General features: G+C 38.7%; 1 protein-coding gene across 4 annotated transcripts in view; it reads right to left on the reverse strand.

Annotated features, from left to right (window-relative positions):
• Nucleotides 1-286: 286 nt before the first annotated feature.
• The window catches only part of TAFA4 (TAFA chemokine like family member 4), a 200,782-nt gene continuing 183,396 nt past the window's right edge, over nucleotides 287-17,672 (reverse strand). For 2 of the 4 annotated variants that reach the window (XM_011533372.2, XM_011533371.2), the window contains exons 5-6: nucleotides 7,637-7,720; nucleotides 287-1,674 (exon numbers count right to left, since the gene is read on the reverse strand). In XM_011533372.2, coding sequence (XP_011531674.1) covers nucleotides 1,535-1,674; nucleotides 7,637-7,720 — 224 coding nt within the window. In that variant the 3' untranslated portion in view covers nucleotides 287-1,534. Of the gene's footprint in view, nucleotides 1,675-7,595; nucleotides 7,721-17,672 lie in introns of all 4 variants that reach the window. The other 2 variants (NM_001005527.3, NM_182522.5) reach the window with 1 other exon arrangement.

Here is a 17,672-nt window from a genome sequence, read left to right on the forward strand (position 1 = left end):
TATATATATTTAAATACATAGTTAAATATATATATATATATTTAACTCAATACTAAAGGGAGCAAAGTATGCGTAAAACATCATGAGTGTGCCTAAGCTTAATGCTACATAGGTTTGGGAGAAGAAACTAAGCTACCCAAATGTATGTGCCAACTTTGCCATATAGTTCAACATCCCTAAAGTTAAGTGTTATTTTTAAAAGGAGTTTTTCACGTTTAAAATGTGTAAGCCTAGGTAGGATGTTAACACAAAGTCTTAAGGCATATAATAATCACAAAAACATGTATGCCATCAGCAGGATGAATTTTTTTACTTATTCATATGATCATAACAAATATTCAAAAATTACGCCAACAAATCTTTCCATTCCTTTCCATTCCCTCTGCAAGAATAAAATCAAATAACTGTTAGGCTATAAACAACATTAAAGTATTTATTTTCCCCCTATAAATGTGAAAGGACAGGGATAATTAACTTGGTGCAGAAACTATGTTTTTGGCATTTCTTAATATATAAAATTCATCCCATATTTTTACAGTAGTATGTACTTTAACAACATTATACATCTAAAATCTGGGTCAGTCATTCTTCATCTGTTTCATACGTTTCCGCATGACAGCATTTGAGAATATGTGGAGACATGTCTGCTGCAAAATCATTAAGCCAATCAGGACTCAGATTTTAAAGAAATAAGATGGCTAACACAGAAGTCACAGAAGTAGGGAAACAGCTAAGTTAAGAAGAACTCATTTACAGTCTAAAAATTCAGCACTGAAAGACTCCTGTCTCGGAGTTAAAATCTTTTCATATAATTGGCATAAATTTGATCTAAGAAATAACCCTTGATCTAAATTGAGATTGTTTTATATTTTAAATGATTTACCTACATGACTACACAAAAGCCGTAAAAATTCCAACAAGTTTTATAAATATGTTCTGATAGAGCTTTGGTTATAAAATATTGGAATTGATATGCTTCCTTAGCACTCAGTAAAATGGTACATTGAAGTTAAAACGCTCTCATTTTATCTCTGCTAACTGGAAAATGGAAAGCAAAAAAAAAATAGAAGTAAAAATACAATGCACACACAATAATCCAACTATGTCCTTCTATTCTTCAAGGGTTATAAAATAAACGTTCTTTACCAGTTAATCAGTTGATCTCTAGCAGTAATTTTCTTCACCAGCTAATCTACATCTGCAAATATGTTTTGCCAAAATCTTTTTAGACCCCTTTAAAACCACTTTAATACAAGGACAAAAGGAAAAGTTCAAAAGAGGAACAGAATGAGGACCCTTTGGAACATACATCCAAGTTCTTTTGTAAAAGCAGAAAGAAAGTGAAGAATGAACATGCCCTTAGTGGTGATCCATTTTGAAGACTCTGATTTGCTCTTCTCGGATTTTGGAGGTATGCTCCTTGGGAATCCAGAGAGGATGTCAAATGGGTGGTGGCTTGTGGTTATAATTCAATGAAATAAAATCACGAAGCAGAGAGGGCTGGGCCAGTTAAGTGAATGCCACCTCTCACAGCTCACATATACAAATATGAAGTTGCTGAAATCCTAGACAATTTTCTGCAAAGGGGCCATGATGGGAATCCAAGCAAAAGAGCTCCGCCTCCTGCTGCCCCTCCAGGATTGAAGCACACCTCTCTCTTCGCTACCGCGTTACCTAAAACAAATCAAAATAAGGGAACATTCAACACTCTATACCCACCGAAATAACCATTCCTGCCCCCGAGACCAATAAGGTCCTGACTGTGAATACTTTATCAGTTTGTACATTTACCTATAACCGACCTCACCAAATCAACAGTTCAAATTCTGCTTTGCAGCCTAAAAGCAAGAAATATAAAGAATACATGCACAAAGACTTCCATAAGAGGGTATTATGCAGTCTGGCTTTGTATTTGTGAGGTTATAAAAATCCCATCTGATTAGGTACACTCATCGCCCATCAGTTCATGCATGCTGAGCATGCTTTGTTAATGGCACTAGAATTTTTTCAAATAAATGGTTGATTAAAATCAGTGCATGTCAAGATAAAAATGTTGCCTTTTTTATGTTATTTTTTATGCAGTTAACTTTCACTTTTGAAAATAGGTTATTTTATAAAACTGCTGTATTATCCATTAAAAAGGTAGTGGTTGTATTTTTCAGACATCCAGGCTCATTGCTTGTGATCTAAGAAAATTGAACAGCAGTTTCTATTCATGTAAGAAATTTTACGTGTTTGTTAGTCAATATACCAGCACAGGTGGAAAAAAAAGCATAAGACTTTAACATGCCTACACCACAAAAATATTTTTTCAAAGCAAATTATTTGATAGTATAGTCACCATACCCAGGCTTTAGACCCAATCAGCTATGTATGCAAACCTCAGCGTTGCTATTAACTGACATCTGGCCTTTATGTACTCAACAGTATTACTCCCCTTTTGTTTGTGCTGGGTAACTACAGCAAACTAAACAAAAACCCTGCCCCCATGGAGCTTACCTTCTAGTGCAGGGACTGGAAAACTTTTACTGGAAAGGACTCAATATGGTAAATATTTTCAGCTCTGCAGGCCATACAGTCACTATAGCAACTACTTAACTCTGCCTTTATTTCATTCACAAAAGTAGCCATAGACAATAAATAAATGAATGGGCATTGCTTTGTTCCAGACTTTATGTATAGATGGTAAAATCTGAATTTCATATAATCTTCATGCATTCTGAAATATTCTGTTTTTGATTTTTTCCAAGTACTTAAAAATGTAAAACCCAGTCTTAGCTCATGGCCCATACAAAAGCAGGCCAAGGGCTGGATTTGGCCTGTAAGCCACAGTTTGCTGATCCCTATTCCAGAGGAAGAGGTTGGATAAACAGGTAAAATTAATAATATGGGCAATGGAGAAAAGTAAGGTAGTACGATACAGGAAAGAAAGGCTGAGGCAGGGAGGGTAGAGGGCCGCTCTTCTATACAGGATGTCAAGGAAGGTTGAAGGAGGAGAGGAAGAGTTAAATGCAAGGACTTTGGCCTTTTTCTGAGGTTCAAGGAAGAGATGAGGAATGCATGGCAAGACTGAACTGTCAACTTAAAGAGTTGTGACAAATAGAACAAAGATGTAAGAGAAAGAGGAATCAAGGACAATTCCAAGATCTTTGGCTTGAGCAACTGAATGATGGAGTTGGCCATGTTCTGTGATGGGGTAGAGATTGTCTCCCTTTGCCTTAGTTTCTTCATCTGCAAAATAGAGATAATAGTACCTGCCCCCGTCAAAGAGTAAATAAAATATGTGACTTGAATGACACAGCCCAGTGGTTGACACATGGTTTGTACTCAGGGAATGGTGGCTATTGTGATGTTAGCTCTTTCTGGATCTATCAGTCTACATCCGGGATGTAATTGTCAAAAGCATCTTCTTTGAGGCAACTTATTCCCTATGCCCAGCTCATTTTGGACAACTTCACTGAAGTTGGATGATAAAATGCTCTCAGACTTATTTTCCTTTAAAATTATTATTGTACTGATTACATGTGGAAGATTCATTGCTACTTCTGAATTTTGACGGATACAAGGCTACTAAGATGCCAATATTAGCTCTATTCCCATTCATCAGGGTACCCTGAGCATTTCAAGTCTGACTATAGAGATCAGGGAAGACAAAACTTGAGGGTAAAGGAGTCATCTGAGCTGGACATTAAAAGACAAGTGGAATTTTAGAAGGGCAAGTGGAAAAAGGAGGCAGCAATGGTATGGGGAAATACATGGCCTGTACAATGATTGGCAGTGAAGGCCCATTTAAGATGCTTATAATCTGTATTTTGCATCAGTTTCCAATGGGGATCCATTGATGTTCTCTCAACAGGGAGGGAACCTGGGCAGGGAGCTTACCTTTGATGCAGAGAAAGCAAGGTATAAGCCAATTAAAGGTGAGAACAGGTAGAGAGCTCAGTTAGACTAATGGTTCCCTCATACTGCCTGTTGATCACAATCACCCTAAGAACAACTTTTTTAAAAGCGTGGTTTTCTAAGCCCTATCCCAGACTTACTACACCAGAATATCCTAGAGGTAGAGTTCAAAACTGTGTTTTTTACACGTTCCCATGATAGCATTAAATTATTATTATATTGACAATGACCCATGGTGATGGCCTAAGGGACAGGCAGATTAGAGAGCCATTTGAGGAAGATACTGAAGACAAAACTGTTGCTTCCATTCTGTACAAATTTTCCAATATGAAATATTGGAAATATTTAGACAATAGAAACTTTGAAAAACAAAATGAAGTAAAAGAATCAAGTAGGAAGTTTGCAAAGAGCTACTGAAAAAAATATACTATTCTTTAAAGCAGCTTTTCAACCTTCATACTATTGACATTTGGGGTCAAATAATTGTTGTAGAAGCTGTCTGTGCTTTGTAGGATGTTTAGTAGCATCCCTGGCCTCTACCCACAAGATGCCAGTAGCATCCTCACAATGTGTGATGACCAGAAATATCCGAGACATTGCCAAATGTCTACTCAGGGGCAAAATTGTCTCTGGTTGAGAACTGCTACTCTAAAGACATAGCTTTTCACCCTTAGTAGAGGATTCAAAAATAAGAACATTAAAAAGTCTAAAATGTCTTAAGATTCAAAGTGATTTGCTTCTGCTCACAAACAAGATACGGCAAATGCTTGGCTTCGTTGCTAAGAAGATATCATACCCTTGTTAGAAGGCTTAAAATGGCAACCCCAGATAGTAAAAAACTCTTTAGCTCACCGAATGCAGCAAAACCCAGATTTCAATTAAGAAAAAAAAAAATTAAGGCAGGTCCACAGAGAGAGTCATATTTTCCCAAAAGAAGCAGTAGCTGCATCCCCTCTAGAGACACTGAAAACTGTCGGCAGAGTAAACTCAGTGCCAATATTTTATACCTGGAAAAGATAACTAGTTAGGGAATTATCCTCTCTCTTTTCATATCTTCATCTAAAGCTATTAATATTCAAGTTAACTGCCAACTATTTTCATATTTGCATTTAAATGGAAAATAAAATTCTGACATAGCTGACTTACTGGAGACCATCTTACCTTTAGCTTTTCTGTGTTTTGATGCTGCTGTGCATGAACTATTTAAAGAAAATGGAAACTATTATTGTTATACAGTTTAGTTAATACGTCCTCTAGGGAGACAATTGCTCTGCTTTTCTAGGACCTCTGTCTTACCTGTGGTGTAAGGTCAGTAACAATTTTAAGAAAAAGATACTACTGGAAGCTAGTCACAGATCCACAAATGAATTTACTCTATGTGCATAAGATCCATAAAAGACATAAAATGTTTTATGCAGTTCAAGTCACACTGACTTAGATTAATAAAGGAAACAAAGTTTTATGACTTCAAGATTATTCTCAAGTGACATATCACTAAAAAAGCAGCCCAAGTATCATGATGGCTTGGGGAACTGTATTATCTTTCTACAACTTTTCGAAGTGCTAAATGAAATGTCACTACCATTGAGGATTTAGCTACAGCAAACTTACATTCCCAGCACAGAGCCAAAATGCCCCTAAAGGTTTGCTTCCTGCAAATGCCTTTTCTAACTACACATAAATAGAAAGCCGTTCTACCAAGAGAACTACAGTTGGCTTTTGCTCATGATCTTGTTTTATATTTATATATAAAAATCAATACAAATATAATCTTCCAAAATATTATTCCTTAGCCTACAAGAAATACACTGATGGATGTAATACCCTAATTCGTGGGCTACTCCAAGATTTTCACTTAGGAAGGAATTAGGAAAAAATAGCTGAAATGGGACAAGGGAAAGATAGGGAAATTATCTTAAGGCAGGGTTTGCTTAGCAAGCACGCTGAGTCTATATAGCATGGAAATTTATTGGGAATGGCTTAGAATGATACGAGTGTTGACCTCCTTGCACCACCAGTAAATGACTCCATGGACTTCTGCTGCTCTGGACATAAAAGCAGATATCAGATCGTTATCCCAGTCATCTCAGTATCACTAACAAGGATAAGTTAGTTGACAACCGCAATTCACGTTGAAAATGGTCTGGTTTTACCTAGAGAATCAACCGACAACTATTCCATTGATAATCTGGGGTATAATATCAGCTAAAGTTCCCATTTAAAATGTATTGTAGAATCATATTTTCTATTTTGTTTTAGACTTAATATCTTTATATTTTAATATATTTTACAAAATCTTAATGTATAAGTTCAAGTTCACACTTAGAAGGAGAACTGGCCTGTTTTTGACCTCCATGGCTGAAGATGAATTACTAAACACTTAAGAGTTCTCATTCAAAGTATTCATAAAGGGGACGACATAAGAAAGGCAAGAAGCCATTCACTGTATGTACTTCCTAAGGGATCAAAGCTCAATAGCAATGAGAACCAAAGACTCACTCCATTCCAGTATGTCCAGCTCTAATGATCTTAGAATGACCTTGGTCATGTCATTTTTCATTCAAGAAATAGTTACCAAGGCATTCATCTGGCTCTGGGACTAGCAGGGAAAGCAAAAACAAAGCCAGGGCCCAACATCAAAGCTCTCCCACCAGACAGAAAGCTCTAGGTATTAAGCAAAATATGGATAGCAATCTATGTAAAATGTAACCATAATAAATGCTCAGAGATACAGGGAGCCTGAATTCAATCAGGAAAGAAGTCCCCGAAAAAATGATGATTAGCCAGAAAAGAAAGGAGGGAAACATATTCTATGAAGAGGGAACAGCCCATGCCAAAGGACCAGGGTAAGAGGGACTGACAAAAGGCCAGGATGTTTAGAGCAGCAAGAAGGAAGCGGAGGTGGTTTGGCCATGTTACACATTAAGGACCAGGCAGAGGCTAGTGGACCAATCACCAGAGGGTGCCAGTGGAATATTTTGAGGTGGACTAGCTTAGAGGATGTGCATTTTACAAAATTATTGTAGTCACTGTGTAGGGACCAGACTGGAAGGCAGCAGTCTAGCAGTCTAGATTCATCTCCATATGAGATGGCAGATTGGACAAGAGGAGTAAGCACAGTGTTGAAGAATCATGGAAAAGTTGGGTAGTAAAAATCCTAAGGACAATGTAACCAACTGAACATAGGAAGAAGGTAGGTTTCTGGCTGGAGGACTGGGTAGACAATGGTGTTCTTCAGCAACAGTGAGAATTGAAAAGACGACCACTTGGGGAGAAAAGCGTTGGCTTCTAAGTCTTGAATAAGAATCTCCAACCATTAAATCTCCTTTAAAGCAATAGGTATTTCTACTTGAGTAAATCATCTGGATGTGGATTCTTGTCATGGTGTTTTGATACATTGGCCTGTCGACTCTGAAACCTTTACTTTAAATCGGGCTTGTGAAGAAGCTGAAATGAATTTAGTAGCCCTGCCTAAAATAATGAATTCTCCCACCAAATCACTGTTCTATAAAATCTGACACACAGAATGATGCCGGGAAATGCGCTTTTCAAAAAGGCCAAATCCGTAAGGTAGCACTGCCCAAGCAGGTTTATTAACACATAATAATGTGTTCTTGATGGCAGAATAAAATCAAGGGGAGAAAGCCCCACAGTTGATAACTTGTAAATTGTAGTTGCATTTTGTCTATACTTGCCTTCGTAGTTTTGACTTTATTGCCACTGCTACAGGACCAACCTGAGTAATCTGGCAGCACTTTACAATCCTCTCCTTCCAAACACGGATTCATGTGACACCACCATTTCTGAATCACAATGGAAGCTGGAAAACAAAGGCCAAATAATATTTGTGACACTGTTTCTTCCTCCAAAGATGGACAAAATAAAACTCAATACAGAGTAGTACACTGAGTTCAAAGATTGCTATTAAATTTACGGTTGGTAAATTGAAGGAATCCAATCAGGCATATACTCTACAAAATATTTCATTTTTTTATTAAAAATTTTAAAAGCAACAGATGTTGGTGAGAACGCAGAGAAAAGGGAATGCTTATACACTGTTGCTGTGAAGGTAAATTAGTACAACCTCTATGGAAAACAGTATGGAGATTTCTCAAAGAACTAAAAATCAACCACTGAATCCAGCAATCCCACCCCTGGAAAAGAGACTGTTATATCAAAAAGACACCTGCACTCATATGTTTATCACAGCACTAGTAATAAATAGCAAAGTCATGGAAACAACATGTGTCCATCAATGGAGGACGGGATAAAGAAAATGTGGTATAGATATGCTATCAAATACTACTGAGCCACAGAAGAGAATGAAATCCTGTCTTTTACAGCACCATGGATGGAACTGGAGATCATTATCTTAAGTGAAATAACCCAGAAACAAAGTCAAAAGTCAGTCATTTTCTCACTTATAAATGAGAGCTGAATAATGTGTACACAGAGACATAGAGTCATGGAACAACAGAAATTGGAGACTTGGAAGGGTGGGAAGGACGAGAAGTTACTTAAGGGGTACAAAGTACACTATTTGGGTGATGGCTACACTAAAAGCCCAGACTTCACCACTATGTACCCTTAAATTTATACAAATATAAAACAGATCACTTTTGCAGTGGACTGCCCAATTGTAAAATATAGCTGGTGAGATCTCAGGCTTTGTGGTGGGCTTGCCTGGGTTTGAATCTGACTGTGCCATTGTCTAGATTACACTAGTTCTCGGACTTCTCTTAGTGTCAGTTTCTTCATTTGAAAAGTAGATCCTCACCCCAGGATGTTAAGAGGATAAAGTTAATCCACGTGTGAAAGTCTTTGCTGACTTTGAGCCAGTCACAATAGTCTCAGAAAATGTCAGCTGTTAATATGGTCATCATCTTTGATTGCAGGTTACAATGGTATTGCAACTGGTTCTTAAGTTTGATGCTGTCAATAGGAAAAACTAAAAGCACTAAAAATTTCCATCATACATGGTATTCATCTCTCCATGCCATTCTAGTGAGTGGACAGCAACCACTTAAAGTCAATTACAAGAAGCCACAGGAACATGGGAGGGCCTGGCATTCCTTCACCTTTTCATATGCCTGTTAGTCATTTGTATGTCTTCCTTGGAAAAATATCAATTCAGCTCCTTTTCCTACTTTTTAATTAGGGTATTAATTTTTGGCACTTGAGCAGGTAGGTTTCTTTTATATTTTGGATCTTAACTCCTTATCAGATATATGGCTTGCAAATATTTTCTACCATTCTCTAGGCTGCTTTTTCATTTGATGTAGTCCCAATTGTTTATTTTTGCTTTTGTTGCCTGTACTTTTGGTGTCATAACCAAAACATCTAAGATCAATATCAAGGACCTTTTTCCCTATGTTTTCTTCTAGGAGTTTCATAGTTTCACTTCACAGATTACATTTACATCCTTTTCAAGTTAACTTTTCCATGTGGTTTAAGTCACAGGTCTAACTTCATTCTTTTGCATGGGAATATCTAATTTTCCCAGCACCCTTTATTGAAGAGACTATCCTTTCCCCATTGTGTAGTCTTGTCACCCTGTCAAAGACTAGTCAACTATAAATGAATGGATTTATTTCTGAGTTGTCTATTCTGTTCCATGGGTCTACATGTCTATTTATTTTTATGCCAGTGCCATACTGTTTTGGTAACTATAGCTTTGTAATATAATTGGAATCGGGCTGTGTGCCTCCAACTCTGTTCTTCTTTTTCAAAATTGCTTTAGCTATTTGGGGTCTTTTGTGGTTCTATATGAATTTTAGGACTGTTTTTCTATCTTTGTGGAAAATGCCACTGGAATTTTGTTAGGGATTGTATCTGTAGATTGCTTTGGAGAGTATGGACATTTTAACAATATTTTTCCAATCCACGAACACAGGATATTGTTCTGTTTCTTTCATTAATGTCTTACAGTTTTTAGTGTACTGATTTTTTTACCTCCTTGGTTAAATTGATTCTTAAGTGTTTTATATTTTTTGATGCTATTATAAAAATAGGATTGCTTCCTTAATTTCTTGGATTGTTCATTGCTAGAGAAATGCGACTGAGTTTTGGATGTAGATTTTGTATTCTGCAGCTTTACTGAATTTATTAGTACCTGGTATTTAAAGAAGAACTTGGCCGGGTGCCGTGACTCATGCCTGTAATCCCAGCACTTTGGGAGGTCCAGGCAGGCAGATCATGAGGTCAGGAGATCGAGACCATCCTGGATAACAATGTGAAACCCCATCTGTACTAAAAATAAAAAAAAGCCAGGCGTGGTGGCCGGTGCTTGTAGTCCCAAGCTACTTAGGAGGCTGAGGCAGGAGAATGGTGTGAACCCGGGAGGTGGAGCTTGCAGTGAGCTGAGATCACGCCAGTGCATTCCAGCCTGGGTGACAGAGCAAGACTCCATCTCAAAAAAAAATAAAAATAAAAATAAAAACTCTCCACTTTCTCTTCCAAAGAATCGAAGAAGAGAGAACACTTCCAAACTCATTTAATAACGCCGGCATTACCTTCATGCCAAAGCCAGATTAGGACACTACAAAAAAGAAAATTATAGGCCAATATCCTTGATAAACATACATCAAAAATCCTCAACAAAACACTAGCAAACTGAATTGAACATCACATTAAGAGGATCCTCCACTATGATTAAATGGGATTTATCCTTGGGCTGCAAGAATGCTTAATCAATAAATGTGATACACCACATTAACAGAATGAAGGATAAAAATCATATGGTCATCTCCTGCAGAAAAATCATTTGACCAAATTCAACATCCCTTTATGATAAAAACTCTCAACAAAGATAATTTTATACAGAAGGAATGTACTTCAACATTATAAAGGTCATATACGACAAGACATGGATATCTACGCTCACCATTTCTATTCAATAGAGTACCAAAAGTCTTAGAGCAAGCAGGCAAGAAAAAAATAAAAAAGGTACTTAAATTAGAAAGGAAGAAGTTAAATTTTCTCTGCAGGCAACACAGTCTTATATATAGGAAGCCCTGAAGACTTTCCTGACAGGTTTGACTCAAACTATGCTGCCTGTGAAGTCAGAAACTCTAGTTCAAACAAAGCTTTACAAATCCTAACAGCTACTTTTTATTGAGGGCCAGGCACCCGGCTAATTTCCTTCCTGCATTTTCTAATTTAAACCTCACTACAAACCTGAGGTTAAAAATTATTTTTCAGGGCAGGGAGGTGAGGGATAAAAGACTACACATGAGGTACAGTGTATACCGCTCATTGGTGCACCCCTCACCTATCTCAAATTACCACTAAAGAACTTACCCATGTAATAGAAAACCACTTGTTCCCCAAAACCTTTTGAAATAAAAAATATTTTTAAAAACATTATCTTGTACTTCATCGAAATGAAAAAACTGAGGTCCAGGGGCCTTAAGTGACTAGGGCAAGGTCACAGAGTCTGAAAACAGTCAAACAAGCTCTTGAAGAGAGGCAGTCTAATGCTAGAGCCCAAGTGCTAACGCTTATATTCATACCTCCCTCCCTTATGCATCTACTAGAAACAAATCCTTGTATGGAAGGAGGCAGCCAGTGCATTCAAACAGTTCCCCAGACAAACACTATGTGGCATGATGAGAGCACGGGACAATTTCATTATCCACTGAAGGGGCCAGACATTGTAGAATCTTCTCCACAAGTGGCCACATTGTACCCGATTCTGGCCGAATATACTGAGCTACTATCTAGTGATATCCATCAAAACAAATAGTACCTAAGTCAGGTGGATTTGTGATCTAGGGTAACCACTTGTTATTTAAATCAGGCATTGCCAACACCAAGAAAGGAATCTAGCCAAATTGGTTATTTATTGTGCCAGAGACTGCCACTAAACTGGGATGGATGTACATAGCAGGTAAAACCTAATAAAGTTATATTCTTGGCCAGGCATGGTACCTCACACCTGTAATCCCAGCACTTTGGAAGGCCTAGGTGGGCAGATCACTTGAGGTCAAGAGTTCAAGACCAGCCTAGCCAACGTGATGAAACCCCGCCTCTACTAAAAATGCGAACATTCACTGGGCATGGTGGTGTGCACCTGTAGTTCCAGCTACTCAGGAGGCTGAGGCAGAAGAATCACTTGAGCCCGGGAGGCAGAGGTTGCAGTGAGCCGAGATCGCGCCACTGCATTCCAGCCTGGGTGACAGAGCAAGACTCTGTCTCAAAAAAAAAAAAAAGAAAAAGTTAAGTTATATTCTTTGCAGCCTCAAATATCATAACAATTTCCCCTTGCAGCTTCATGGAGCTGTGTCACTTTCAAAGCACTTCTACTTACTGTTCCTCTTTTGATTGTCCCAACAACCTTCAGAAGCCAGAAAGGGGAGCCAGATGGTACCACAGATAAAAACCAGAGCTTCCCTCAGAGTTAGTAAAGGGGTGGAGGGTGGTACTAGAATCTAGATTTTCTTCTTCTCTATCCAGTAGTCTTTCTACTGTAACACAATTTTCAATAATATTTTAGATTAGGAAGTTCTACATAGAGTTTTACTATACTCATAGTGTTGACCACTCATTCTTGTCTGAATACCACAGATTGGTTCCAAGTGGATATAAAAATAAATAAGAGATGGCCCCCAGACCTCAATTTAAAATACCATCTGCAGGACTAGAAAAGTTACATAAATGTTGACAGAGCTTAGTTGTATTTACATAGAATTAGAGCTGAATTTAAAATACTTTGTCTTCAAAACTCTTCCTCAGACTAACTTTCTTCCACTCAGGAGTGAGAACCCGTGTACTTTGGAAAGGTATCAGAGTTTCATGAAAGATTCAAAAGCAGTCTTGACAGGTGGCCAGAGGTCCACAACTGAAGACAGGAGCGACAGTGACGGTTCCACCTGGAAGCCAGCAGACGCATGTGGCTGAAGTGAGAGATGGTCAGGGAAGCCCTGGACACCCAGATTAGGAGGGTGTCTGGGAAGGAACCATTAGGGGCTCTCGAGGAAAATTCAAGATTAGACTTGGGTCTCTCAGCAGCAGACAGCCAGGGAAGGAGTCTGAGCCAAGTAGTGCAATAAGGTAGACAAAACTGGGTGCCAGAAGAGTTTGAGAAGAACAAACTCTAAAACAGAAGAGCAACTGAGGTGGGAGTGAAGTGAGAAATTGCGGAATAAATTCCCTGCAGAGAAAAACAATGAATCAGATAATCTCAACCTTTCAGCAGATAAATTCCAGTCAGCACTTACTTACTGAACCCATGGGGACACAAGGTACTTCTGATGCCAAAACCTAGAAAAGGAGCTGGAGGGGGAAATAAAAATGACGGATCCGGATGTATATCACAGAACACTATGCCACTTCTTAACTACAGGAAAAAAAATCAGCATTTACCTAGTGTTTAGGGATTTAAATTAAAAAATTTAAAAAGGAAACCTGAAAGACCAAGACAGAACTCTTATGAGATTATCTACCAGGTTTTTCGTTTAATTGGAAAATATGGAGTGATGCTTTCTTCTAAAAACAGATTTGCCTCAGATTCCTTAAAATAGCAAGCTGCCCTGAAATGTAAAGGAGTCCTATTTGCAAATATATATATTTTCCCATCTCACAGAAGAATACATTGTGAGGTGCCCTTGTTCGTCAAAGTGTTACCCATGATGGAGTTTCTTTGTGAAAGGCTTTATGGCAAGTGCTCTCTCAGAAATGACAGACGTAGAAGGAAACACCACAATAATCAAAAGACACATTGCAAATTCCGTTATGAGTTAAGGATTGACTAAAAACTGACAGCAAGGGTAAGAACCCACTGAGGGCTCGACCTGACAGAGAATAAGGTGATTAAACAGCCAGGAAATTTAAGCTTCGAGTGCACCTTCAGCCTCACTAGCAGGGACAAAGGACTCAGAAGTAGGATTTTATTAAAGTTACTGGTGAGAACATCTGCCCACTTTACTGAGCCTTGTCTCCACAGGAAAATAAGTTTGTAGGAGGCATAGATATTTTTTTCCTGTTACAAAATATCATAATACACTTTAAATGAGAAAGTGTCTTGTCACTTCTATTTTTAAAATAAAATTCGTTTAAAAGCCCCATGCTTCCTGACTTATGAAAACACATAATACCCCTGTCTTCAAGCTGCCAACCTGTAATGAATTTCCAGTTTTATGCAGAAAGAAAGAAAAAAATAAAAAGACAGTGACGCCCTCCCTGGTTTTGTGGTAGCAACTGCTATATTCTATAATGCTGTTGTCGAGGTGAAAATTTCATGTGATAATTAGCTGTTTTGCTTCTAGTACATTTTCCTTACTCTCTATTGTATAAAATGAGTTTTATTTTGTATTCTTTTCCCAAATAAACATCACTCGGTTAAACAGAACACAATTATGTATTCATACAGTTACTTAGATAAGCCAGACTTCAAATTATAATAACCAAGGACATGCTCACTTTTCATGAGTTGGATTCTTACTTGCTGATTTAGTTTAGCTGTATTTACATGGTGTGATGGTTAATATTAAGTGTCAACTTGATTGGATTAAAGGATGCAAAGTATTGTTCCTGGGTATGCCTGTGAGGGTGTTGCCAAAGGAGATTAACATTTGAGTTAGTAGACAAGGAAAGGCAGACCCACCCTTAATCTGGGTGGGCACTATCTAATCACCTGCCAGCACAGCTAGGATAAAAGCAGGCAGAGGAGCAGATCTTTCTCCCGTGCTGGATGCTTCCTGCCCTCAAACATTAGACTCCAAGTTCTTCAGCTTTTGGACTCTTGGAGTTACACCAGTGGTTTCCCAGGGGCTCTGGGCTCTCAGGCCTTCAGCCATGGGCTGAAGGCTGCACTGTTGGCTTCCCTACTTTTGAGGTTTTGGGTCTAGGACTGGCTTCCCGGCTCCTCAGCTTGCAGACAGCCACTTGTGGGAATTCACCTTGTTACTGTGTGAGTTAATACTCCTAATAAACTCCCCTTCATATATACATCTATCTCATATATACATCTATCCTATTAGTCCCGTCCCTCTAGAGAACCCTAATACACATGGTGAAAGATATTCTAAAGAAAAATGTATGTTTCTACTGCAACTATGAACAGAAAAATTAAGAAAACATCTTCCTAGAATATATGCTTTATAAAATATGCTCCAAGATTTTAACACTTTGTGTCTTCAGTTATTTCAATCCTATTATTATTTCAAGATTCTGTGTTCTTTAAAAATTAAGCCATTAACTTTTATATTTCTTGTTAAGAAAAGAAGCCATACCAACTTGACCCAGCTAACAGGCATAAGAGCAGTAGTTAGAGCACTAACCATTTTTTTTACAAGGAATCTTACTTGTTCACACATTCTGCAAGTAACACAATATTGTTAGTTCCACAAAGTACACAGAATACTGAGTCAGTGCATGAGTACACATACACTGATCTTTTGGAATCTACGTTTGTCCTCTCTACTAAATGCAGACCCACACAAGCATATCCACATACTTTGGGAACCTCTAAGTCAGGGTTTCTCAACCTCAGTGTCATTGACATTTGGACCTTGTTAATTCTTTATCGTGGCGGTCAATCCTGTACATTGTAAGATGTAAGGCAGCACTTCCGGCCTCTACATGCTACACACCAGTAGCACCCTCTCCCAGCTGTCTTGAGACAATGTCAAATATCCCCAAGGGGGCAAAATCGCCCCTGGTTGAGAAACTGATCTACAGTTTGAAGGCATACTAACTCAAAACGAGAGGTTGTGCTAGTTCATCAGACCTGCTCAAAGCTCTTACTTACGAAAATAATTCTAATCCATGATAAACACCATGCTACCTCTATTTTATGTCTTCCTTCCTGCCCCTACCATGGGCAATTCCATGAATTTAAAGTTTTTGCACACCCACTTGTGAGTTTTCTCTCTCTCTCTCTCAAACACACACACTGATACGGTTTGGCTCTGCCCCTACCCAAATCTCATCTTGAATTGTAGCTCATACAAGCCCCATGTTTCATGGGAGGACCTGGTGCAAGGTATTTGAATCATGGGGGTGGGTTTTTTTTTCCCATGCTGTTCTTGTGATAGTGAATAAATCTCAGAAGATCTGATGGTTTTATAAAGGGCAGTTCCCCTGCACACACTCTCCTGCCTGCTGCCATGTAAGACATGCCTTTGTTCCTCCTTCACCTTACACCACGATGGTGAGGCCTCCCCAGCCACGTGGAACTGTGAGTCCATTAAACCTCTTTTGCTTTATAAATTACCCATTCTCGGGTATGTCTTTATTAGCAGCGTGAGACTAATACACACACATGCATGCTCGCACACACAAATCCTGACTGATTGTGAGCTCACCATGAAACCTATGCTGACGAGGTGACCTGTCAAATTTAGGCATCACATTTCTCCTTCTCCGGAATCTTACAGTGCTTTATATAAACTTTGTTCATAATACTTCATACTCTTTTTTATTGGCACACTCTCTTAAAACGCAAATTCCCAGAAGGCAGGAATTAAATCCTAAAATTTGACTTATTCTAAGGCCTCTCACATCAAGGGTCCTTTTACCTTTCCAAGCCAGACCAAGCTACTTCTAGTTCCCGAGTTAGCCCCACTCACTCTCATATGCTTCGTGCTGCCTTGTTCCCTGACTCCCTCCACCATCATATCCTTCTACCTACTAAATTCAGACTCATTGCTTCTCAAGGGGCAGCATCCCTGACCACCTCTCTGTTCTCCCTTTGAGTCCTTCATTAATAAAACTTTGTTTCTCTGAACTAGTAAACTCTGAGTTCCTTGAAACCAGGACCTGAGTCTCCTTATCATGCTTCCATCTGGCATCTAGGGCAGGTCAGGCACAAAGGTGCCAAATTAAAATGATGAATGAACCAACGTATGCAATATACATATCCTCCCAACTCCCAAAGTGTTTTGGCAAAATCCTCTCTGTCATTCATGTGTCTGCACTGAGAAAAATACGTTTTAAGTGGAAGGAGAACAAGCCCAGTGAAAACACATTGTAAAGACAGACCCTATGTCTCATCACACAGCCCATAAAGCCATGAAACTTGTCTGCAGTCCACACAGTAACTCTCCTTCTTAACTAAGTGAATTGACATCTTGAAAAAGTGGGCCGGGTGCGGTGGCTCATGCCTGTAATCCCAGCACTTTGGGAGGCCAAGGCGGGTGGATCACGAAGTCAGGAGATCGAGACCATCCTGGCTAACATGGGGAGACCCCCGTCTCTACTAAAAATACAAAAAAATTAGCCAGGCATGGTGGCACGCACCTGTAGTCCCAGCTACTCGGGAGACTGAGACAGGAGAAACACTTGAACCCGGGAGGCAGAGGTTGCCGTGAGCAGAGAGCACGCCACTGCACTCCAGCCTGGGCGAAAAAGCGAGACTCCGTCTCAAAAAAAAAAAAAAAAAGTGATAGAAATTGGGGCATCAAAAAATTTTTTAAATAGCTTTGAAAAGTAACTACTTTCCATTTCTGAGCTTTTGTTTTATTAGTCTTTTAAACCCAATATTTAGAAACCATTTTGACAAAATAAACTTCCTTGTACTACACATTTGTCTCATTTTATCATAAAACCATTCAGCATTATCTCTATAGAGCAGTATTTTCATAAATGTGTAGAATATAGTTTCCACCATAAAACAGACCTGTATATGCCAGCCGAAGATTCACAAAGAAGAATGCTTACCAGCTGAATAGCTGTCTGTTTTAGGACCCATACCACAGTCTCACGATCAAATAATTCCCTGTCCCGTCTCCCAAATCCCCAATGTATATTAAAGACCCACTTCAATAACTCAG

Source organism: Homo sapiens, chromosome 3 (genome assembly GCF_000001405.40).
Source record: "Homo sapiens chromosome 3, GRCh38.p14 Primary Assembly".
Classification (NCBI taxonomy): Eukaryota; Metazoa; Chordata; class Mammalia; order Primates; family Hominidae; genus Homo; species Homo sapiens.